At 41.3% G+C, this 26612-nt stretch overlaps 1 long non-coding RNA gene across 1 annotated transcript in view; it reads right to left on the bottom strand.

Annotated features, from left to right (window-relative positions):
* Positions 1-20948: 20948 nt before the first annotated feature.
* The window catches only part of LOC107984326 (uncharacterized), a 162012-nt gene continuing 156348 nt past the window's right edge, over positions 20949-26612 (bottom strand). The window contains exon 4 of the long non-coding RNA XR_001748187.1: positions 20949-21047. This is a non-coding gene — a long non-coding RNA (uncharacterized LOC107984326). The remainder of the gene's footprint in view (positions 21048-26612) is intronic.

Genomic DNA, 26612 nt, shown 5'->3' with positions numbered 1-26612 from the left:
ATAGACAAGGAACAAATTTCCAGGTTGGCTACTCCTGGATTCCTTAGCTTGGAACTCCAAACACACACTGGAGTGTGTCTGCCATACAGGGTCATTCTCAGGGTGTGCTTAGTTAAGCTATTGCTGTCAGGTACATCTGCCATACACTCCACCCCAGCACACCTTTGAATGGCCCCCACATTCTTATCATGCCATTCTTCCATGATTTCCCTGGGGCCAGGTATATGGAAGAGCACTGTGGACATACTAATCACAACATCAAAAAAATAATAAGGGTAATTTGTAAGACTGAAATGGCTCCAGGTACTCAAGTTAGCTGCGTGGATGCACCACAGAAGGGCCATGGTAGCAGAGGAGGAGAGGGGCAGCTCTTGAGAGTCCCAACAGCCTGTTTCATTTGACAGAGAGGCCACCATCTGCTCCCAGTCGGCAAAGTGGTTTGCTGCGCACCATCTATGGGCAGAAGGTGAGATACTTAGTAGGTACAAGAAAGGACAAGTCATGGGGATTTAACAAGACACAGGAAGTTGTGTCATTCTGAGAGAGCACCACTCTGGCAATGGTCTGCTGCCTGGTTTACAATACTGAATGTACTGGCCACCCACAGTGGTGTTTTGTGGGAGGCCAGAGTAAGACAATGGGGGTAACGTAATTGTCCATAATGAGAGGATGATAGTCCCATTGCACAGGGAAAACCAAGATTCATTATTTTAGAATTACAAGGGGGAGCAGTGTGTAAAATAGGTGTGACCTGTATATCCTGTTCTAGGTCCTTCCCCCATGGAGGGGAACAACTGAACTATTGGGGGCTGGTTTGCCATTTCCGGGGCCACATTATGATGTGTTCCCTTGTGGGTAGGTCCTGTGTCAAGAACAATAGCAGTTTGCCTTGAATCCCCAGTTGAGGCAAAGATGTACTGTCCACTGCACTGTCCACCTGAATCCTGATGGTGGTGTCAGGTCCTTGCATCAGGAAAGTGTATGCACAGAAGTGATGAGAACGCACATGATCATTCAGGGTGCAGGTGGCTGATGGTAAGCAGCATCTCCTGCCAGAGTTGTTGCTTCAACAGCTCATTCATCTGTTCAGTCAGCCCTGCTGCTGTAGAGTTGTTTGGCAGGTGGAAATGCCAGTGGATATCCAGGGCCTCCACCCATCCCTGCACTTTATGTCCAGTAAAGTGCGAGCCCTGGTCACTGTTGATATCAGCGGGGATGCCATAGGCTACACATGGCTGCTCTAGTTCTTTTATGATGGTTTTCTGGATGGCACTTTTGCTGGGATACATCTGCAGCAGCCCTGTGCAGGTGTCTGCACAAGTCAAGGCAAAGCTGCAGCTATCGGATAGAGGAAAAAAGTCCTATGTAGTTACCTGCTATCATGGGCTCTAACCCCAGCTGAGGGGTCCAGTATCATATGGCAAGGGCCTGGAGCGTTCCTGTGCTTCTCATTGTAGCAGCCATATGATGAGTCCCTTGAAGATGGCCCAGCTACCAGTGCACAGGACTCTTGGGTCCAGCTCATGGGGGAAGACCATCCAGGTGGCTCATAGCTCACCCCATTGGCTACTGTGTCCTTTGCCTGTATCAAGCCAGGAACTATCAGTGGATGGCTGGATGGCTACAGATGTCCAAGCGCAAGAATTGCCTTACCATGAGCCATGTATGTACCAGCCCTAGTTATGAATTGGACTTTGTCCCTCCATATGAAGGAGGGAATCTGTGAGGTTCAGTGGCCTCCATCAAAGACTGTCCTTCAGTTCTCATACAGGTGACAGGACCAAGCACAATTGGAGCTCTGTGCTCAAGGTGTAATTGGTTAATGTGCTCCTCTGTTGCAAATATGTATGTCATTTGGCCACAGTTTGTGTCTGGCATTCCCAGACTTTGGTTTCTGGAAGGTATCCTTCAGCCAACCTGCTATAAGGTGCTGAGTGCATACTAGCACCCCCTTTGCAATGCCCTGCATTTGTTGTAAGGCATGGTATGTAGTGCAGAGTTGCTGTTCCATGGCACTACATCTAAATTCAGCCCCCTTACATAGTTAAGACCAGAATCTCAAAGGCATATGTTTATGTCCTTGCCTTTGCCACAGGCCCCACCTAAACTCCTCAGGGTAACTGGCTACATCCAGTTCACATGGCTGTCCCTGCACTAGAACTCCCAAGGCTTATGTTTATTCCACCACAAGTTTTCAGAGACCTCATCTTCCTCTGTGGACCCAGTCCCAGTGGTATATAGGCCTAAGGAGTTGGGCCAAATGGTGAATAAAAGGATGCCTATATCCTAGAGGGCCTAAGAAGGTTTGCAACTACTTTGATGTGGTAGGACGTTGGTGGGCATGCACCTGATCCATAACAGCGGACTGAATGACTATGGTCTTGCCTGACCAGATGACACCCAAATATTTGACTGACAAGCCTAGACCCTGGACATTGTGTTGATCACCCATCCTCTGCTTGCCAAGTGGGACAGCAAGGTGGGGACTGCAATTTATAAGCTCGAAAAAGACTCAGAAGTTAATGGAAAAACTCGCCAGGGTGGTATCCTTGGGGTAAGACGGTAAAGGTCCACTGTTCTTCCCAGGTGAATGCAAATTGGTCTTGACTCTCTGGGGCAATGAGGATGCTGAAAAAGGGTTGGCTAAATCTATAGCAAAATAACATTTGCCCAGCACCTCTCCTACCCTTGTCAGAAGACAGGCAACATTGGGAACAGTGGCATACACTGAGGGGACCAACTTAATTCCTGGCAATCTACTATCATTCTCCATGTCCCATCAGGCTTCCACATGGGCCACACAGGGCTGTTGTACGGGCTGTGCACTGGCCTTATACTGCTTACCCAGGCTAACTCCCTAACATTCCCCATCATTTCATCACGCACATCCCGACCCACACTCCAGCAGGCAGTATTTCAACAGTACCAGTGTCTACTTCGCGTTTCCCCTGATCACACTCTTCACCATCCTAACTCTCAATCCAAATGCCCCAACAGTTGTTTAGAGGGTCAAGCATGACAGGTTATCAATTCCCAAGATGTACCCCGGGATGGGAGCTATGTATACTAAATAGGGTTTTGATGTTAGTCTCCTAACTTGTAATACTAATTCAACCTGTCTGACTTCCATGGCCCCGTCCATAACCATCTATGCTGTTAAAGATCTTTTGGAACCAATGAATTTTACCATATACGAGTACATTCAGCTCCAGTATCTACTAGGGCAAGAATAGTCTGTTTATTCTTTGGTGACCAATATATGGTTAGTTCTACAAGTGGTCTCCAGTCCCTGGACACCCCAGCCACCACTGCTTCTATCAGGACTCCAGGGCCATCTTCCCCCTAGTCTAAAGGGGCTGGTGCCTGCCTCCCTTTGCAGGAGGGGCAGTGGGCCGGGCGTGAGGCTCCTTAGGGAAGTGCTATTCTGGCTTAAGCTTCTGCCATAGTCCATCCGCTCTTGCAGTAAGCATTCCTGCCACTACCAGACCACACCACATCTGTGGGCACATCTGTGGGCAGACCATCCTGATGAGACCATTGTCTCCTTTCCTTTGGCTCCTCTGTCTTTCATTCCAGCAGCACACACCCCTTGTCTACACAGTTTGCCTGTCTCCCCTAAGTCAGTGGTCACCCAAAACACTAGCTGTCCTACCAAGAGGTCCAGGATAGACATTAACACACAGTATCAATTGGTTGGGTTGTGTGCCGAATGGGAGATGGCTTCTTTTGTGCCAGCAGTGAAAAGCTCATGATTGGGACCTTTGTAATGCTCAATGTAGATTGCATGCCCCATTCCTAATTCCCAGAGGATGTCTCACAATTCCTCCATACTCTGCCATCGCAAAGGAGATGTGGGGACTTCCCCCTCATTTGGCCAGGCTGCCTTAAAGCTGTCAACCACCCAGCAGAGGGTGATAGCCTGATCCCCATTACTGGCACCAAAAAGGTGCTGCCTCAGGGCTAGCTGGTTTGTGATGGATGCCATTTTATTCATTGGGAGTACAGAAACTCTCATACCCTCCATCCCTATGTCCCATAGATGGAGGAGCCACCCTTGATCGACTCTCTCCCCTTCTGTCTGAGCCTATTTTCCAGCTCCACCAATTGTACAGTGGTGTAGTCCTGCATTGCAGCGTGCTGCCATCTTTTAGTTAGGGACAAGTCTTGTGGGGCTACACCCTGTGGGAGCAGTTGGTCTACTTTTATTTTGGTGATGACCATTAGATGCACAGAGAAGATGAAGATGGGAACCTCTATGAGCTTGTCCCAATCTTCACCCTCCTCCCCACTACAGCCCTCCATTAGGTCCCAGGACTTACAGTCCCAGGATTGCTTAGTCCTTATGCTGGCAACCCTTCAAACGAGCTACCTGACAAGCCAGGGTCTCCACTTTGTCATTCCGTGCCCACAGGTCCCGGGACAGTAAGGTCTTGGATGTTTCAGCCCTAACTAATCTAGCATCCCTTTCTAACTGCAGTTTGTCCTGTAACTGATAAACCCTCATCTGTGCTGCAAAATCAGCCTCCATGGCTGCTCAGTGCTCAGTCACAAGCAGCAGCCAACTGCAGCTGCCACAGCTCGGGCAACTGACCCTCCTTCAGTCAGATCTGTCCCCTGCAACAACTCTTCCAGACCCTTCAGCATTTTGGAGGGATTCACATACTCAGTGGGCCCCATTCATCAAAGAGAGCGGTTATAGCGCCCCACATAGACATGGACAGCCAGCTCAGGATGTCCCCTGAAGATTTCCCTTCCCCGACTCCATTGTCTCAATGCTCACAGGATTTTCTCCACCCTCCTGGCTGGCTCGCCAATTGACATGCTAGACCCTTATTAACTTTAATAGAGACATCACCAGGTTCAAGAGGCCAAAGAAGACCTGGGGCCAAGCAGCTAAGCAAAGGAGACAAAGAGTTTCATTAACAGGAAACTTACACACAGGGGCAGTTGAGTGGCAGCAGGCTGATCGGGAGAACTGTACAGCTCAGTGACCATGGGCTGGGCAAGAGAATCATATGATGCAGTGGCAGGGAGCTGGGCAGGAGAACCACAACCACTTGCGAAAAGCATGCAGTCTATATAGCATTTTCTTTTAGCACCCTGCCCCTAACAGCCTCCCCCGGCAACCTTCATTTCATTTAACCCAGAAAGGGACTTTGATCCTCAATCCCCTGTACATCTCACATTCCATCAGACAAGACTCAAAATACAGAAGTTCTTCATAGCTAAGGAATAATCTACAGGATAGCCACACCCAGCTTCCTTAGCTCAGAACTCCAAACACACATTCGGGTCCATCTGCCACAAAAGGTCATCCTCAAGTTACGCTTAAGTTAAGCTATTGCTATCAGATGCATCTGCCATGCAATGCTAAGCAGCTTGGCTTAAGAGTGATGGTTTGCTGAAAAGGAGCCTGGCTTTGGCATCAGATAACCCTTGGACCAGATCCTGGTCTCACCACTTATTACTGGTGAATTCTTGATAAATTTTTTGAAATTTTCTGAACCCCTTACTCCTTATCTATAAAATAGGAATAAGATGACCCTGGTACAGCTGGGAGGATTAAATTAAGGGACCTAACACGTAAATTACCTAGAAATGCCTGGCTGGTCTAAAATTGGGATTTATTTGTATTTTGCCTCTTTGGAGAGCTAACTGTGCCAAAAGGAGAGGGTAACAAGATCCTTTATCTACACATCATGTCCATCAGGAAAAATTATGTCACCACATTATAATTTTCTCCGGTCAAGTCCTCCTCAAAAGTAAGAAAATCATGGGTAACCCCAAATCACACATTTCAGAAAGACACAGCAAGGAGTTGGCTATTCAGTGATCCAGGGTGATCTTTTTTCTGTCATCATATCAATGTCTTCTCTTGGCCTATCTTTTCTAATTGGAATATGCTTTTTCTGAACAAATTTCCATTGCTCCACTTTTCCCACACATCTGTAGGTCAGTGACACCTAGAGAAGAGGGAAGCACTGAATTTTGCTTTTCATAAACGGAACAAGCTCAAGCAAGCCACCTTTTCACATCAGGGGAAAAGCTCTTCTTGGCTTGAGAAACTCAAGGCTCCTACCAAACTAACTTATTTTAATTGAACCCAGTTTTTCAATACCTAATCTGAAACTGGGTTGGGCGCAGGGGCTCATGCCTGTAATCCCAGCACTTTGGGAGGCCGAGATGGGCACATCACCTGAGGTCAGGAGCTCGAGACCAGCCTGGCCAACATGGTGAAATCCCACCTCTACTAAAATACAAAATTTGGCTGGGCATGGTGGCTCACGCCTGTAGTCCAAGCTACTCAGAAGGCTGAATGGGAGAATCACTTGAACCCAGGAGGCAGAGTTTGCAGTGAGCCAAGATCATGACACTGCACTACAGCCTGGGCAACCAGAGCAAGACTCCACCTCAAAAATAAATAAACAAATAAATTAAATAAATAAATAAATAAATAAATAGAAAAATTGCAACTGAAGATAGAAGAAAAAATTTAAGAAGAATTTATGCTCTCTGTGAGGTTGAGGATCTTAAAGAATGAAAACAGGGTCAGAAACCTAAAAAAAAGAAAAAAGAAAAGTGAGTTTGTGCTCACAAAAGGAATTAAGGAGAATGAAGAAGCGCTTTGCAAACATACTGAGAGAGAGAGGCTCAAGAGAAAATGAGCCTCCTAATGAAGGAGGAGGCATGCTAAATTAATTATGCCTTTGAAATACTGACCTCATTCCTTAAAGCTATCACAACCCTGAAAAGAAAGAAAAGACATCTGTACAAGTTAGAAGTAATGGAGCCTGTAAGGAATTAGCCGTCTATCAAGACCAATAAAGGGGATATTTAGAGAACTGGAACAAATGCACATCAACAGGTCTCAGTGCCTTTTACTTACAGGCAATTTCTTGAATAGCACTTAGGTTTTCTCTTCTGAAAAGAAATACAAACATTACCTGAAAGTTCAGGGGAATAGCAATGTGGATTGCACAACCCAAAGTAGAAAAGCCCTTGAAATTGCAGACTTCCAAGTATGATGGCTCCAATAATAGAAACAAAATATATACATAGGAAGGCTTTATTAAAATAAGTCTACACTGAGCCTCAGGGTTTTTGTGGGGTATTTTTTTTTCAATAACATTGATAAAATAGGAGTGGTCATCACTGGAACATTTATTAAATTCCTTGTTTATTAACTGAGTAATTTGAGCAAGTCACTTTCTGAGTTCAGTTTTCTAAGTTCATTTTCTCCTCTTCATATTCTACTTAAAGTTTTTTTGAAGATTGACTATGCATGGATAAATGATAGAAAGTGCTGAGCAGAGTGCCTGATGTACCAGAAGCCATAATTATTATTGATCATTATTATGATCACTCCATTTACAGTTGATAAAATGTTCCCATATCCTCCTTGAGTTCCTGTTGTTGCATTTGCTCTCTGAATTTATTTCTCTGTAAAGTCACGGTACTTGCCTAGCATGGTAGCTGAATGTGGATATAAGTTGAGTGGCATCTAAAGGCATAGGTTTAAATCCCAGTTCCTCCACTTAATTGTGTGACTTAGGGCAAGTCCTTTGACTTGTCCACATATCTCCTTTCTCACCCACAAAATGGAAAAATTGAGACCTATCTTTCAGGGCTATAGTGAGAACTAACTGAAATCATGTATATAAGGGCTTAGCATAGTAACTGATATACCACAAGCACTCATGAATGAGCAGTTGTTGCTGTTGTTATTATAACAATAATATGGTGGTTTTTTGTTTGTTTGTTTGTTTTGACGGAGTTTCGCTCTTGTTGCCTAGGCTGGAGTGCAACAGCATGACCTTGGCTCACCGCAATGTCCACCTCCCGGGTTCAGGCGATTCTCCTGCCTCAGCCTCCCAAGTAGCTGGGATTACAGGCATGCGCCACCATGCCTGGGTAATTTTGTATTTTTAGTAGAGACAGGGTTTCTCCATGTTGGTCAAGCTGATCTCGAACTCCTGACCTCAGGTGATCCACCCACCTCAGCATCTCAAAGTGCTGGGATTACAGGCACGAGCGACTGCGCCCGGCTTGCAATATTATCTCTTGATCTTATGAAAGGGAAGCTCTTCTTTGGTGATATCAGGCTGTCTTATGTGTACTCAAAATAAGGGTACATATAGGGAGTAAACTGAAAGCTCAAAGCTACATGTCCTCCAGCCTAATATCTTTGTTGAAATCTCACCTAGGAATTTATGCCTTCTTTTTAAAACTAGAAGTAGAAATTACTTTTTTAAAAATAGAAAGTGTGGGGGTGGTGAGTCATTCACAACTTAGAATGAAGTGGTTTAAATTCAAATGTTTGGTTCCTAACAGCTATTAAAATTAGTACAGAGAAAAGGAGGATTTAGATGAGGAAAGGAAGAGTCATGATGATTTGTTGGTGAGGGAAAGAGAGACACCAAAAGAAAACAACAGTAGTTCATGCTCATTCATCATCCATCTATCCAATCATTCAATCATGTATTATGTAGCATCTACTATGCACAATGTCTAAATGCCTAGCAATTAACATAAAGAGACACCACTCCTATATTCAAGGAGTCTGCAGGACAGTGGGAGTAAATAAGCTTGGAATCAGTACAGTGCATACATAAGTGCTATAACCTCTGAGTATATCCATTGTTTTGGAATCACAGAACATGATGAGGGAAAGGTAGAAAGATAAGGATAAAGTCACTGAATGGGTCCTGGAAACAAAGTGTCCTGTGAGCTATCTCTGTCAGTTCTCAATAGAGGATAAACTGAAAGGGGCATATTTCAGGCTGAGGGAATGAAGGCATGAAAAAGCATGACTGATTGGAGACCTACAGGTAATTCTGTATGATTCAGGCATTGACAATTAAGAAGCAAGAAGGGGAAAGGTAGTAGGCCAAATAGAGAGGGGCAAAATTGGACTCACTGAATGGTTTGTAAGCAAAAAGGTGACATAGTCATATATTCCTTCTAAAAATAATATTCTTGGATATTATTGATTAGAAAAGGTAAAGATTAAAGAAAAGGAGCCCAGTATAAAGGCTGTTGAAGTATATATCAAGAGATGCTGACGATCTGAACTAAGGCAGTGTTCATGGTAATGGAAGATAGACTTATTTCAGGAACTAGATTTGATAGGATTTGTTGACCACTTGTTTTCAGGAGGCATATAGAATGACACTGAGGTTACTGGTTTGGGTGATTTAGTGGATCATAGTGGCATTAAACTCAGAAAGATGGAAGAGGGAATGTACTCAGAGGGCAAGTCTCACAAATGTGCAAAAGGCCAGCTTCCTAGAGGAAAAGGAAGGAATTGGACATAACTCATTTGAAAGAATGCTGGGAATAAAAGGACTATAACAATTGCAAATAGTTATTTGTGTTATTCTTATCTGACACACTAATAATCTGAAAGTCAACATCCTTCAACATTCCAGCTGCTTCCTTTAACTGAAGATTGACAGTTCAGCCCTGAAACAGCATCAGTACACAAACGAGAGTGCCATAAACTTTAATGAGCTTTAAAAAAATAGCTAAATAAGTGTTAATTTCTCTCAACAGCTGGAACATTTCTTCCTGGGGTTGCTAAGTATTAATAATATATTTCTGTAAGTAAATCCAGGGAAGTTGAACTGGTAGGAGACCTTGCTCAGATTATCCTGCTGAGTATTTCTGCCCCCCTGCCCCCGCCAACTGACCAGGATCTAAAGAGAAAAGTCAGACGATATTGCTGTCATATCCTACACATCCAAGGTACTCACAGCCAATGTCTCTAGAATGCCAATGAAAAGACCCCTAAAAATTTGGGGGGATCTCCAGAAAGTGATCAAAATACCTACATGCCATAAGGTAGTACTAAGCTGGAATTCCAAGGCTGTGGTATGACAAATCATCGAGGCTATATCCTCCAAACATTTTCCACACTTTTATCTGACCTCTATGTGGTTACTTTAGCAAAAGAATGGGGTAAGAAGGTGCCATTTACTGAAGACTTACTGTATACACAGATCGATGTTACATTTGCTGCATCTAATATTTCAGTCACCATAATCACCACCCCGTGAAGGGAATACTATTATTTCTATTCCCCTTCAACAGATCAAGAAACCAAAGCTCAAAAAATAGGAGTGATTTCTTCAGAGTTTGATAGTAAGTGGCAAAGCCAAGATTCAAGCAGAAATATCTTTGCAGCCAAAACCAGTTCTACCACCACACCGCAATGTCTTAATACCTTTATCATTTCAATCCCAATTTTTTTTTTTTTTTTTTTTTTTTTTTTTTTTTTTGAGACGGAGTCTCGCTCTGTCGCCCAGGCGGGACTGCGGACTGCAGTGGCGCAATCTCGGCTCACTGCAAGCTCTGCTTCCCGGGTTCACGCCATTCTCCTGCCTCAGCCTCCCGAGTAGCTGGGACTACAGGCGCCCGCCACCGCGCCCGGCTAATTTTTTTTGTATTTTTAGTAGAGACGGGGTTTCACCTTGTTAGCCAGGATGGTCTCGATCTCCTGACCTCATGATCCACCCGCCTCGGCCTCCCAAAGTGCTGGGATTACAGGCGTGAGCCACCGCGCCCGGCCTCAATCCCAATTTTTAAGAATGTGTCAGAAACACCCAAAAATACTTGCTAACTTTGCTCAGAAACTATAATAAATGTGATTCAACTTCCCTTTTGGGTCCAAAAACCTGATCATTTATTAAGCCTACCCAGAGACAACCTATCAATGAACACATAATCCCAGATACGGATTTAGGGCTTGTGACTTGAACAAGAAAGATAGATAAACATTATTACTTGAGCCCTACAACTCTCTAATATTAAATATTTCTATAATATTTCCTCTGGGCTTCTCTTGGCAGTGATGTATTTTGTTAGCATTCCTCCACTTTTTGCCACTATAATCTGTTCTGAATAGAAAAATATTCTCAGTCGGTCAAAAGTGCCATTTCCTTTTACAACCAAGGTTTTGCACAATGATACTAAATAATATAAATGATGTTTTATTTGATGACTGCTTTATGCTTTCTGCAGCCTCTAGTGGGACCAGACACTAGGGCTTCCCCTGTAAATTTTGCCAGCTCCCCAATCCAGTGCAGCTATCAAGTTCTCCCCTGGAAAATTTAAATCTCTGTTTAAAACATTAACTTCTTCTTCATTTAATTTTTTATTGCTAAAGGTTCACAGCTGACTTTATGGCCCTGCGATGATTAATTTTTAATGCCTTTCTTCCTTTCTTCTTTGATCGACTTCCTCCATTTTCAATTTGAATGCAATTGTACTTTTTCTAAAAAGCATTTGTCACTTGCTGGTTTGCATATTTCAGACAACCAGAGGTGGCTGATGCAGAGTGGAAGGCAGGCATTCCTGCAGAGAGTAACTGAAATATAGACAGTAACTCTATGCCTTTCATGTGACTCCTGTTGATAGCCAACCCTCTAGCATCAGTAAATCTTCCAGCTCTAGGTCTTGGCAGGCAACGAATTCCCTGAGAGGGTTATCGTACTAAATCCTGTCATTGTCATGCATAAGGTACAGATTGAGTCACATCTTTCAAACTACTGAACCATCATTAGGGAAAACAAATACGTGAAACATACCTTAAAAACAATTTCTATCTGCTTCCACTCACCTACCAAAAAAACAAAGCCAAAAGAAAATGAGGATTTGTTTTGCAAGTCAAAAAGTCCCCAGCTTTTTATATTCAGACAGCATATAGCCATTTAAAATGATGTAGAACATTTAATGACATGGAAAAAATATTCATATATATTCAGTGAAAAAAAAGCAGGTTACAAAACAGTGAGTATAGCATAATTAATTTTTAAAAGGTATATGTATGCATAAAAAGACTGAGAAAATGAATAATGGTTTTCTCTGAGGATGATAGAAATGTTTATTCTTATTCTTCTTTGCTTCTCTCTGCTAAGTTTTCCACATGACTATACATTGCTTTTGTAATTATAAAAATAACTTATTTAGAATATAAATTTCTTACATTTAGGTAATAAATGAAACTAAGTAAATAACCAGAGATCATATTCTTGAGAATGTAGACAAGATATGAGAGATGTTGAAAATTAATAGTAATATTATAAATCCTTGAGGGGATGGATACCCCATTCTCCATGATGTGCTTATTTCACATTGCATGCCTGTATCTAAACACTTTATGTACCCCATAAATATATATACCTACTATGTACCCCCAAAATTTTTTTAAGAAAAAAATAATATTTATCTATATATTAAGGGCATTGATAGGAGCATTATGTTCCTAACTCTCAAAGTATATAGTGTTATCCACATGTTACAAGAATGAAAGCCAAGGCTCAGGAAAATACATAAGTTGTCTAAGTTTGTATAGATCATCAGGATCAAGGAAGATAAATCCTAGATCCCTGTGACTTCAAAATGTTTGTCATTGTCACGGTGCTATACTGCCTTAATTGAAGTGCATTTCTATACACAGTTGAACTACCACATTTATTCAATTTTTTAATAGAGAAGTAATGACTCCCAGCCCCAATGATATTAATAAATCAAAAGCATATTTCTAAATTATTTTTATCCTTACTTTTTTATTTTATTTATTTATTGATTTAGAAATAGAAGCTTGTTCTGTCTCCCAGGCTGGAGTGCAGTGGCACAATCTCGGCTCACTGCAACCTCTGTCTCCCAGGTTCCAGCGATTCTCCTGCCTCAGCCTCCTGAGTAGCTGAGATTACAGTCACCCACCACCATGCCCAGCTAATTTTTGTATTTTTAGTAGAGATGGGGTTTCACCACATTGGCCAGGCTGGTCTCAAACTCGTGATCTCAGGTGATCCACCCACCTCGGACTCCTAAAGTGCTAGATTACAGGTGTGAGCCACCATGCTCGGCTATCCTTGCTTTTTAAAAAAAGTATGTGCATGTGTAAATTAATATATTAATTATTTCCATTACAATTAATGAGCATGTTACAGTTTACGATGCATTTTTTCATATCTACTAGTCTCCCTGTTTGATTTATTCACTATGTAACTCTAATGTCATCAGAAATTATATTTATAATGTTCAATAACTTGTGTAGAAAAATAAATTAATATATAAAGAAAAAATTTAGACCTCTGTTCCTATTTTGTCTCTAGATAAACCAAACAATATATCTATACATATATGTATGTATTTTAAACTGGTTACCAGGTAATATAAGTCGTAACAAAAAATATTGCTTATTTAATAAGATAATTTCCACTAATACTATAAACTATGGGTTTTATCTTCTGTTTGTGAAACTGCCAGTAACTGACATTTAGCCCTTGTCTGAGTCATAATTTGACAGACAATCACAGTCAAACTCTTCTAAATTGATGATCATTTGTAGTCTTAAAATGTGAGCTTCTCTTGCCATTAGCAATGTTGTTTTATGGTGCTAAATGCTCTCCTCAGCTCCTGTTGATGTAACAGCAATTACATAATAATGTCTAAATATTTTTACATTCAATGGCTCTATAATCAACTAAGTCACAGAAATCATTTGTTGACATGTCAAAGATAATTAGATCAAATATAAGCCTTCCAACACTGGAGACTCAGGGCTATCTGCTTTGGAATCCTATGTTATTCTTGTTTTAAATAACTTCAGTGTCCTCATCTGTAAAATGGAGATTATGATGATTACAACAGTATTTAAATAATTCACTATACATGGTGCCTGGCATAGAAGCCACATGTAAACTTTAGCTCTCACTTTTATAAAAATGAATATTGTTGATGCCCATGATGAATGGGGGTTGTGCGAATTTTCAAAGATGTGTCTCATTAAACAGACAAATCTGCCCATTCTTCATAGCTCCATCCATCCACACAGCCTCCCTCAAATTTCAGAAGTACTCAATGTGCAAAGAAGCCTGCAGCATCTAGCTGTTGTTGCAATATCCACCATTTCTGCTACCCACCTCATCCCCATTCTCCCTGTCTCTCCAAGCCTCTCAGATTTAAAAGCCCATAGATGCTACAGTTCCTATGAGCAAAAACACAAGGGTGACTCCAGAATTGAGCACCCTCTGCTACATGAATCACGACTGTTCCTGGGATCAGGCACAGGTGGCATTTGCTTGTCAGAGTGTCAGCACCTTTGCTAGGGGCTCTAGTTCCCCTAAGGTCTGAGCTCCTTCTGATGTAGATGAAATTCAGGAATAGAAGCCAGTGGACAGGAGCCAGGCAGCCTGACTGGCAGGCACAAAGGCAGTTCCCCAGTGGTACCATCCTACCCCAGAACTGAGCCTAAAGCTGAGTAGTGGCTGAAAACAAGGTATCGAATTCTGTGGTCCTGGAAGGCATTTATGGAAATGCCCTTTGATGGTTAATTTTAAATGTCAACTTGACTGGATTAGAAATACCTAGAAATTTGGTAAAGTATTATGTTTGGGTGCATCTGTGAGGGTGTTTCCTGAGGAGATTGGCAATTGAGTATGGGTAGACTAAGTTGGGGAAACATCCACCCCCAATGGGGGCAGGCACCAACTCATTAGCAGAAGGCCTTGATAGAACAAACAGGAAAGATGAATTTATCTCTCTCTCTCTCTCTCTCTCTCTCTCTCTCTCTCTCTATCTCTCTCCCCTCCCACCCCCTCCATCTCTCCCTCTCCTGAGGCTGAGATACATCTCTCTTCTCCTACGCTCGGATATAAGCTCTCCAGCCTTTGAACTTCAAGGCTTATACCAGCAGCCCCCAGGTTCTCAGGCCTTGAGATTTGCACTGAGCCATGCTACCTACTGGCATCCCAGAGTCTCCAGCTTATAGAAAGCCTTCCATGGACTTCTCAACCTCCATATTCACGTGAGCCAATTCCCCTAATAAATGTCCTCTCATTTATCTATACAGTCATCTCTGGGTATCCATAAAGGTTTTTTTCCAGGATAACCTCCCCACACGCAGATACCAAGCTCAAGTCCCTTATATAAAATGGGGTAGTATTTGCGCAAATGCAGATTCTTTCCTATACTTTGTGTCATCTTTAGATTACTTATAATACCTAGTACAATGTAAATGCTATGGAAATAGTTGTTATAATGTATTCTTTTTATCTGCAGCATTTTTTATTGTTTTCCCAAATATGTTTTATCTGTGGTTGTTTGAATCCACAAATAAAAAGTCCATGAATATATGAATATGGAGGGCCAACACTATATCTATCCTATAGATTCTGTCTCTCTGAAGATCCCTGACTAACCCAGTCCCAAAGTCAGGACTTGGGATACGCAGAGTGGCTCAGGTACCAACCAATCAAATAGATCACTGGAGCAGAGTTTGTTCAGGGATACCCTTCAGACAAACCTGTTAATCATTAACCATTTAGATGACAGAATGCAGGCATATCCAGGAAATTCCGGGGATGAGTGGAAAAGGCAGTCTGAATGGCAGAAACACTTGAGGGAGGCAGCAGTTATTTGCCAACTAAGATGAAGATGCTTCGTGTTCTACCTACCCTACCATAGGACTACTTTTGTGTGTACCAGCTGAAGCTAAGCATAATTCTTGAAACCCATGCCCTCCATCCACACAACTTTCCAATTGCATCTCTCCAACCATAACTTCAGAACAGATGCCTACCACACAGATGTCCATGCAAGTGAACATGAGAAACTTGCTGGTAGCACAAAAATAAGATGCAGATCTTCCAAAATAAAAAGAGAAAGAAATGGGATCCAACCAGAGTATGTCAATCAAATTGCAAATGACTTTTAATGAGTCCTACATAGTCAAGCAGATTTTCTTCAGTACCTTTTTGTGGTGGTGGTGGTTGGGGGACAGGGTAAGGGGACTCAAAGGAGAGAACTAAGAATGACATAATTTCTGTACTTCACTTAACCTTTGTCCTACCCCGTGGGTAGGAGAGCTCCTACCCCTTGGGGCACATTTGACAGTGTCTCTGAACTCTCCTATTACCCAGTTTGGCTCCACAGACCACCAAGACAGTGCTTAGCCACACTCTGTCATTCTTCCAATCATCAAATATAAACCTGAGTACCTCCTATGCACTTGGCATTGTGGTAAGTAAGGTGTGAGTAATCATAATTAGAGCAAAATAAAATAAATATAAAATAGGAATGTACGCAATATGCCTTGGCAAGGAAGGAGATAGCTTCATGGAGAAGGTCTCTTTGCTGAGACTTAATTCAATAGAAAGACCCATTAGAATAGTGCTTTTGAGGGCCCTTGCTTTGAATGCAAACAAACCTGGTGTATTAGTTGTGGCTCTACAGAGAAACAGAACTAATGAGATAAATAGATATGTAATTTATTATAAGGAATTGGCTCACATGATTATGAAGCCTGAGAAGTCCCATTATCAGAAGACCCAGGAAGCCAGTGGTATAGTTCTGAGAACCAGAGAGCTTATGATGTAAGTTCCAGTTAAAGAAGGCTGATGTTCCAGCTCAAGTAGTCAGGCAGAGAGAGTAAATTCCCCCTTCCTCCAAATTTTGCTCTATTCAGGCCCTCAATGGATTGGATCATGCCCACCTACACTGGGGAGGACCATTTGCTTTCCTCAGCCCACTGTTTCAAATGCTGATCTCACCTGAAAACACTCTCACAGACATACCAAGAAATAATATTTAATCTGGGCACCTCATGTCCCATCAAGTTGACATGTAAAATTAACCATCATACCTGGCACTAAAGTACTTACAACCAGGACACAGTATCAGTGTAACAGATAACTTATTTGAAGGAGGCAACTGAGATGCCTTTGAACAACAGAGAATGCATATATTTTAAGTAGATCTTTTTTTTTTTTTTTTGAGACTGAGTTTCACTCCTGTCTCACAGGTTGGAGTATAATGATGCAATCTTGGTCACTGCATACTCCGCCTCCCAGGTTCAAGCAATTCTCCTGCCTCAGCCTCCCAAGTAGCTGGGATTACAGGTGCCCTCCACCACGCCCAGTTCATTTTTGTATTTTTAGTAGAGATGGGGTTTCACCATGTTGGCCAGGCTGGTCTTGAACTCCTGACATCAAGTGATCCACCCATCTTGGCCTCCCAAAGTGCTGGGATTACAGGCGTGAGCCACCATGCCCAGCCTAAGCAGGTCTTTTAATGTTTCCCTGGCTCTAGTCTTGCTCCTTTGCAATCTAGCAGAAGTTGCAATCTTTCCAAAGGACAGATCCAATGTCACTGCTAAAATTCCTCCTCCACTTGCCTGAACCCATCAAAAGCCCACGTGCAGCTTCCAAAGCTCTCTGCTAGTACTAGCCAAGTGTGCTGATCAACCTGCAGCTCACCTCCAGCTTCATCACCCTCCACACCTACATTCCAGCCACCTGAGTTTCCCCAGAATGATACGATCATTCCTGCCATTGCACAAAGTATTCTTACCGCCTGGATGCTCTCTTGCATGCCTCACGTTTTTCCACATGTTGAAAGCTGAGTCTAAATTCAAGACTCAGGTTAAATGTGGCCTCCTTGGGGAACCTTTCCCAGGCCCGAGGCAGAGGTAACACTCTATGTTCTATCTTACAAGCACTCTGGGTTCTTCATTCCATTATAACTCTCAGGATGCTGGCTCCCCTGTGAGGACAGTAATGTGTTTTCATTTCTGAATGCCCAGTCCCTAACACAAGAGTCCAAGCTTTTTTCTGCAAAAAGCCAAATAGTAAATATTTTAGGCTTTGCAGGTCACACGTGGGCTTCGTAACAACTACTTACCTCTGCCACTGTGGCGTAAAAGCAGCTATATACAATAGTAAGGGAATAGGCTTGGCTATGTTCCAATAAAACATTATTTAGTTTGCCAACAACTGTGCCCTAACAGAACCTTGGGCACACAGCAGATGTAGGTGAATGACTAGCAAAGCAGGACTCCTCTGCCCTTTATTTTGAAGGGAGGGTAGAATCCAGCTCTGTTGATGGATGGCATTTCACCTTTCCTCTCTACTAACTGAAATGTGAAGCCTGAAGTTTGCAAGAAGGGATGAAAATGTGCATAAGAGCAGAAAGGGTCTCTGAGAGGTCGTATCAAGATTAATCTCTTCCCTCTAAGGTTCAAAGGTATCCAAACATCAAAATATGTGGGGGAAGACCTAGGGTGCCCCAATTGAGGCCTATTAGCAGAAATTATCTAACAAGTCTCTTGAGATAAAATCACAATAAATCTGTGCCAAGACATTGTTTTTGGATTTGCCAAAAAGCTAACCTCAGACCATTGCCAAACCATATATTTGAACAACATATGTACTTATAACTCTCAGGCAATGTGTTGAGCTAATTGAAAAGTCTGGCTAGAGAAACTGTTCTCCTGAGTCAAGGCTCTCATTAGGCACCTGTCCCTGAGTATTACTCAGGACAGATTTTTCTTCCAATCCTTTTCACATTCTGCCACACGTCAGTCTTCCCTCAAACCCTGTGGAGTGGCCCTCGCGGTAGTCTGCCTTTCTATGAAGCACTAGGCAGCAGTTGCATGCACAGTAGAGAACAGGCCTGTGGTCAGAAAGACTGAACTTGGACTGACAATCTGGATTAAGTTAGCATCCTGAGGTTCTTGTATTTATTATGAGAAGAGAATTCTCAGAGGAAAAACTGCATTTCCTGCTACTATAAGCAGATAGGATAATGAATATTGCATATTGATGCATCCCTGTCAAATGACGTTTATCTGCCCTAAAAAACTAATAATGCAGTCCAGGCACAGTGGCTCACACCTGTAATTTCAGCACTTTGGGAGGCTGAGGCAGGTGGATCACCTGAGCTCAGGAGTTAGAGACCAGCCTGATCTACGTGATGAAACCCCATCTCTACTAAAAATACAAAAATAAGCTGGGCATGGTGGTGGGTGCTTGTAATCCCAGCTACTTGAGAGACTGAGGCAGGAGAATTGCTTGAACCTGGGAGGCAGAGGTTGCAGTGAGCCAAGGATTGTGCCATTGCACTCCAGCCTGGGTGACAGAGCAAGACTCCATTTAAAAAAAAAAAAAAAGAAAGAAAAAAAAACACCTAATAATGCAGCCCCTCCCATTACAAAGTTATGAATGATGGAACACATGAACAGTACAAGAAACATGTCTGAAACAGAATTCCAAATCTTTGGCTTCAAAATGTTCTAAATTAAACATCCCTGAGTACTTCCTCTGGCCTGACTTCCTACATATGCCCTGTATAATTTTTTGCACCATGATGTGAAATACACAGCAAGCTGGTTACATGAGACTTGACATGGCTAATACCCTTTTTAAATTGTTTTGCCCTTGATGAGTACAAGTTCCTACTCCATAGGCCCCTGCAATCCAAATATCACCACAGTCATACTTTTGGCATAGCATTCAATAGCTTTCCCAAAAACTGTCAAGATCAAAGAAGTGACAGTGTTACATTTCATCACAGTGCATCTCTCAAGTATAACCCAATTGTTTTTCTCAGTGGCCACTAAATCTGTCCGTCAGTCTCCACAGGCTTCTCTGAGTTACCCTACACCATCACTGCCCCAGCCTCCAACACCAGGAAATAACTTCACTAAGCTCTTTCAAAGAAAATTATATAAATATTAAAAAGGCTGACAGGCTGATCAGAATAGGCATTTGTTATTATGAGATTTGTAAATCAATTTATGAACTGTGTGACATATAGGTAGAGGAATCAAGAGGCAATAACCATTTTATGGGGGAAGATCATAAACCTGTCAACTGTTCTATCCCTATGTGCATAAGAGACTGCTCTGGTGCCAAAAATTGATGCTGTCACAGACCTCATACAACAAAGCTAATGCGTTTCTAATTTTACTATTAGTGCTGTCTTTGTAATAGCCCCTCTCCAAAAAAGGATTTCATTCCTTCTGACATTTCCAATATGGTTGTTGTTTACACAGCTGAGTAGAAGTAACTTCCTCTCAGCAAGCCAGCAAAGATTTGTGCCTCAATTTTGACACTCATTTTGCATCCCAGAGTTCCTGAAATCAGCATTCCCAGGGCCCTCAGCATGTGCCTTTAATCACTGGTCTCTGGATCCCTCTCAGATGCTATTTGGTGTTTAAACACTCTTCTATTTTTCCAGAAAGTCCTATGAAATGCCATTCTGTGACACAGCAGAAGAGCTCCTGAGATCCCATTGAAACATACAGGACAAATGTTTCATTACACAAAGTGCGCTGGCTTGACAAGAGTTTCTGCTGCATTCCAAATCATGCTTTAGGGACAGAATGCTACCAGCTTCCAGCAATATTTCCTATTTATTTTGGTGTTTTGACAGTTTCCCTATCTATCCGGCTAAGTGTATATATGAGCCTCAGACATTCATACTTGCCTTTTGACCTCGGGCAATTCACTGCTCCACTTGGGTGGAGGATCTATCTAAGCAATAGATAGACAGATATCCCAATCCAGGAATAGTGATACCTGCCATTCCACCTAATAGAATGTAGTATCAAATGAGAAAATAGATCTAAATGCATTTTACTGTACAAGTAAAGCAGAATAATATAGTAGATAGAATGGGGGCTCTGAAGCCAAACAACTCAGCTAAGAATCCTGAATCCCTCTTGTACAACCAGAGATATTTACTTTCTCTCTCTCTCTGAACCTGTTTCTTCACTCATACAAGGGGAAAATTATAATTTTCCCAGAGGATTCTTGAAAGCAAATGTGCCTCTGCGGTATAGTAGGTACATAATACATGAGTTCATAATCAGAACACATTTAGGATTCTTCTCCTGCCTATAGGCATTTGCCCTAGCCCTTCTCTTCACACATCCACCAAAATGAACGTGAAGTCCAAACCAGTGATCAAACAAGTATTTCATGCATTGTCTTTCAAGCACAACATACATATCTCAAAGCATTCTTCCAGAGCAATGGACCCACCATCCTACAGACAGTGTGCTCCATGGAGGGAAGAGGTATTGAACTAAAAAATCTTTCTTTGGAAGAAGGCCAGAGCATCAGTCATAACAAACCAAATGGACAGACAGAAACAGGGTTTACCATTTCCTTTGGAGGTGTTGAATAGGACTGAAGGGCTGCAAACAGCATCACTAAGGGCTCTTCAAAGTTTTCGAAGTACTAGCCATGTTACACCACCATCTGAAATAGAAAGTATCTCATTAAGGGAACCTACTGTTAACGAGATGACGAAATAGAATGTGTAATTCATCTTTGGACTCAATCAGTCTCATGGCTATTTTGATATAGCTGCTTTAAGTCAATTTCCCTAACACATTCATAATGAATTATGATAAGGAGTTTATAGCAACATATCAAAGTCAGTGTACCATTTAATGACATGAGATGCTATTTACTCAGTAGCTGGCATCTGCATGTGCTGGAAGGCTGCCTCAATGTCACTCTGAGGAAGAGCTGTTGTGATCCCATTTTGCAGGTGGATAATTTGATACCAAGCAATTAGCTAGGATAACTTAATACATTTAAGTATAAATTATATTAAGAGATTGTATTAGATAATCTGTAATGTAACTTCTAAAAGCATTATTTTTCTGATTTCTCCCAAGTCATAACTACAAAAAATACTGGATACAAATCTGAGCGGGTAAAAACCACAGAAACACAAATTAGGCTAGTGCTGTCCAACAGAAACTTCCTATGATGATGAGATTTTCTATAATTCACTGTCCACGGCAGTGGCCATTAGCCACCTGTGATTAGTGAGCATTTGAAATGTGCCAAAACTAAACAACTGAATTTTAAATTTCATTTTATGTTAATTAGTGTAAATTTTCATTTAAATAGACATATACTCCTGTTGGCTATGGTACTGGACAGCACAGGCATAGGCAAAAATGTGACTTTCCATGGTAAGTCTGTCAGAGGAATATCATATAAGGAGGAATATCAGATAAGGAGGAAGCAGGAACTGGAATCCCTAGAATGTAAGGAATTCCTCTTTCATAGTGTGGATATAGTTCAAAAATTCCATGATAGAAGACCAGACCAGGTGGACAGATGTCCACTTTATCTCTTTCAGATAAGTCTACCTTTTTATCCCCAAAAAGGAAGCTTCTTACAATAGCCTCTTGGGTAAGAGTTCCATACATACAGAGTTACTATCAAATGTACCATTCAATTTGTGACACTTTTGATAGTTAGAATGGTCATTATTAATAATTATGCTGGGAAAGCAGACATACACCAGGACCATCCCAGGCAAACCTCGACACACAGTCACCTAAATTTAGGAGATCCTACAAGTGCACATTCTCTGGCACACAGGACCATAGAAAGTCCTTGTTTACAATATCAGGCTATGCTCTACAAAGTATTTTACAGATTGCAGTCCACAAACCTACTACGGAGTCACCTGGGGTACTTCTTAAAAATGCAGGCTCCTGGGTTCTACCTTAGACCTAATAATCAGACTCTTTAGAGGCCAGGCTTCAAAATCTGAATTACCAGGTAATTGTTATACACAAACCACAATACAGAGAAAGACAGCATCTGAAAATTCTAACCTGTGAAGCAAACCTCAACAGTCTGTAGATACTGGGGTAGGGGCACTATTGTTTCTAAATTGTATTAATGATGCCATCTATGAACTGTCTTTGACAAGTATTCTTAGACTATGTGTAAGCGTGCTCATGCTCAAAATGTTCTTCTAAGCAAAGGAGGGAGTAACAAAAAAGGACAACAAACTTTTCCCACTCTGATTCTTTGTGTCTACAGATTCTTCTAATGTCTGCCTCCTGAGACAGATTGCCATGGACATGCTGCAAAACCAAAACTGATTTATTCTTCCCAGTCTGTCCAAGGGTGGGCTATAGAGAGAAAGATTAAAACAAGCAAACCAATAAATAACTCAAATAGAAATCAGTGCTACAGAGAAATTTAAACATCCTGATGGGACACTAGAACGTAAAGCACACGAAGGCAGGAATTTCTGTTGGTCTTGTTTGCTGAGTTATTCCCAGTATCTGAAACATAGCAGGCATCCAATAAATACTTGTCCTATAAACAGACATGATGGAGGAGCAGAAAAGGACTACTTTAGATAGAATAAATAGGCAGTAACGTCCAACTAAGAAATGTTTCAACTAAGAAGGTTCTTCCAAGCTAGGAAGACCCCAGCAAAGAACTTGTTGGCAGAAAAAAATAGGAGATACGAACACCTTGAGGTTAAAACAAGCTTGTCCTATTCCATGAACAAAGTCCTGTGTTCAGCCTGGTGACTGAGGGGAGAGTGGGACTAGGTGATGTCAGTGGAATAGGCTGGCACCAGATCATATAGGATCTTTTGGGAAGCCAGTGGTTTTAAAGCAGGGGAGTCAGACGATCTGGTCTATGATTTGCAAGTTTACTTTAACTGCCCTGAGGAAAATAATCTGTGGGAACACACAAGTGGAAGTAGAAACTCCACCTAGGAGGTTATCACAGGACAGCAGATAAGAGATAATGGAGATATAGACTAGGGTAGCAGGCAGAAGAGATGGAGAAAAGTGGGCAGATAATAGACATATTTTTAGAGTTAGAGGTGGTGATAGCCACCGATGATTTGGATGTGAATAAAAAGGCAAATAGAGAATTACAGATAGATGGATCCAGGTTTCCAGTTTGAACAGTGAGTATTTTCCATGCCACATTTCAATGAGTTCTGGTCTTTCATGTGTTCATGTGCTCTGAGGACTTGTCTGCACACATGCCTGGGCTAATGGTGCCCCTCTCAACCCCACCTTTCAGGAAAAGAAAAGGCGGAAACTTCACCCTGAGTGTAGAAAGGTCCATACTGTCAAAATCATAAAGACACTTGCAGGTGGAAATGGCAGTTTCGGTTTCCTTGTAGTTTTAGCTGAGAGGCCTCTCATCTCTCTTAATAGAAGAATTATGGCAACAAGTTGCAACAAATCTCACCCCTGGGGATGTTCTCTCTCCTTAGCCACCTCAGGGAAATAGAATTTTGATTTTTTAAAGTGCCAGTTGCTAGATGGGTACCAGAAAGTTGCTAGTATGGAGATGGTTCTGAACATAATCCGCAGAACAGGGATGCTGGGCTGGTCTAGATGGGATCCAGGAGGTAGCACACGATCAAGTGGAGAAGTGCCCAAAGCCACGTTCAAGACTGGAAACCAAGAATATGTAGCTAAAGACATGTCCAAAATTAAAGGATTCTGAAACATGAGGAGTAATACTTGCTGGGACCTCCCAGCTTTTTGCCCATGCCTCAAAGTCACTCAGACCATCCAAATGACCATCACTTCAGCAACAAAAAGAATGAGAAGAGGATCAAAGTGTTTTCTATCAATACCAAATTAATTACAGAAAACTGCCTCTGTTTTTACATTGCTCATTTCATCACATCGTAGTGTTTGAAGCTACATCTCTTCCAACAGAAATGAACAAAAGTGGATGCTGCCAATTTGTCACCTTTGTGTATGAAAAGGACTCAGCTGATATTTGAAGGATGTTTCTACTGATTGCCTATTATCATAACATGAGATTAAAGGGGAGAGAAAGTATGGCTTGCGATTGTTACAGCCTTGACAAGAAAGGCCTCCAGTCACATCTTATTAATTTACTGTGGAACAGAATGTCACATTGACATTTCAAATTATCCTGTTGCTTTGTTCACAGGATTATATTGAGCTTAAACTCATTGAGTTCCTAGTTTGGCTATTTATATGAACTACAACTCTAATCTTCTGATGTCTTGACCTGCACACAAGACCAAATTTTACCATTTATAAAAATGATTAACTGCCCAGTCTTGGGGGGCGAATAGATGTAGGCTCAAATATTCCTTGATCCACTTCCTAACTGGATCTTCTTGGGCAAGTGAGTTTTCCTCTCTGTGCCTAAATTTCCTCATTTGTGATAAGAAAAGTGATATCCACCTTATGTGTTTCTAATAAGGATCAAATGAGATAATATATGAAAACCATTTAAAACTATCAAAAAGACAACTAGTAATAAAATAGTAACAACAATGACAATATATAAACTATAGATAGATGATAGATAGATGATAGATAGATATATGATAGATAGATAGATAGATAGATAGATAGATAGATAGATAGATAGAGTGAGAGAGAGACAGAAATTTTTTCTTTACTTATTCAGGGGAGAGACCAAAGAATTGGTAAATGTCCCAAGTGATATGAAGATGTTGCCAGGGTTGAGAACAACCAGGGTGGAGTAAGCCAAGTCCACACAGAGAAAAACTGGGCTCAACCAAGGCTGGGCCCCAGCTCTCGCTAGATATGCCAATAGCAAAGTCACTTCATTTTTCTGAATAGGAATAACTGCTTATTTATTTCAGTTATTATAGGAATTAAATGAAGTTATGTGAAAGTGTTTTATAAAGAGCTATATTACTATTGGTTGCAGAGGAAAATTTTGGAGAACACTTGAATAAACAAAACATAGAGCAACCCAGGAAATTCCAATTAAATAGCTATTTTCCTAACTAACAGCTATGACTACACAGGGAAAGAGTCTCCACACTGGGACATAGGATGCAGAACCGTGCAAATAAGTTGTCAATACTTGTGGTATCAACAATATCTACTTTTTAATTACCAAACTATCTACATTTACTATACAAAACATAAATAACACAGTAAAGAAAAATAGAAATTAAAATTACTCATAATATAACCATCTATGAATCACCATTATTGATATTTTCCAAAACTTTAATGCATAATACAAATATGTAAGATAAAAGTCACACTAGACATATTGTTCTATGATCTCCTTTGCTCACTTGATATAATATAAACATATTTGAATATCAATGAATACAGTTCTTCACATCATTGTCCTAATGGGTACATTAGTAGCCAATTCCTGAGGATTTACCACTTAGGCTATTTCCAATTTTCCCTCTCTTACAAACAATTCTGCAGTACATCCTTGCACACGTATCAATGTTCACTTGTCCAACTGTTTTTCTAGAATAAATTCCAAGTAGCAAAGTTGCTCAAACAGAAGATAAGAAAAACAAATACAATTATTTGGTTTTATTACAGAAATACAGGGTTTTTAAAAATTCAAACAATATCTGCCACCTGCAGATTAAAATCCACATTCTCATGGCTGGGTGCAGTGGCTCACGCCTATAATCCCAGCACTTTGCGAGGCCGAGCTGGGTGGATCACTTGAACCCAGGAGTTCAAGACCAGCCTGAGCAAAATGGCAAAACCCCGTCTCTAGTAAAAATACAAAAAATTAGCCAGGTGTGGTGGTGCATGCTTGTATTTCCAGCTGCTCTGGAGGCTGAGGCATGAGAATCACTTGAAGCTAGGATGCAGAGGTTGCAGTGAGCCAAGATCATGCCAATGCACTCCAGCCTCAGCAACAAAGCAAGATTCTGTCTTGAAAATATATATATATTTTATATATATAAATATAAGATTTTTTAATAAATTTTAAAAATTAAAAAATTTAAATTTAAAAATTAAATTTTTAAAAAATTTTATACTTAAAAAATTTAAAAATTTTAAACTTTTTATATAAAAATATGAATATTATATATATATATACATATATAAAAATTATATGTTCTCCTCTACCTGGGCATAGGGCCTAAACAAATTCTCCAGCCTCTCTTGAGGTTGGTTGAGGCCATGGGACTAAGTTTTAGCCAATGGGATGTGAGCAAAAGTGATGGAAGCCGTGTGTCAGCCTGTTCCACCTCTC

This window comes from Homo sapiens, chromosome 11, assembly GCF_000001405.40.
Source record: "Homo sapiens chromosome 11, GRCh38.p14 Primary Assembly".
Classification (NCBI taxonomy): Eukaryota; Metazoa; Chordata; class Mammalia; order Primates; family Hominidae; genus Homo; species Homo sapiens.
The sequence above is the reverse complement of the archived record's forward strand: the minus strand, read 5'-3'. Positions and strand labels throughout refer to the sequence as shown.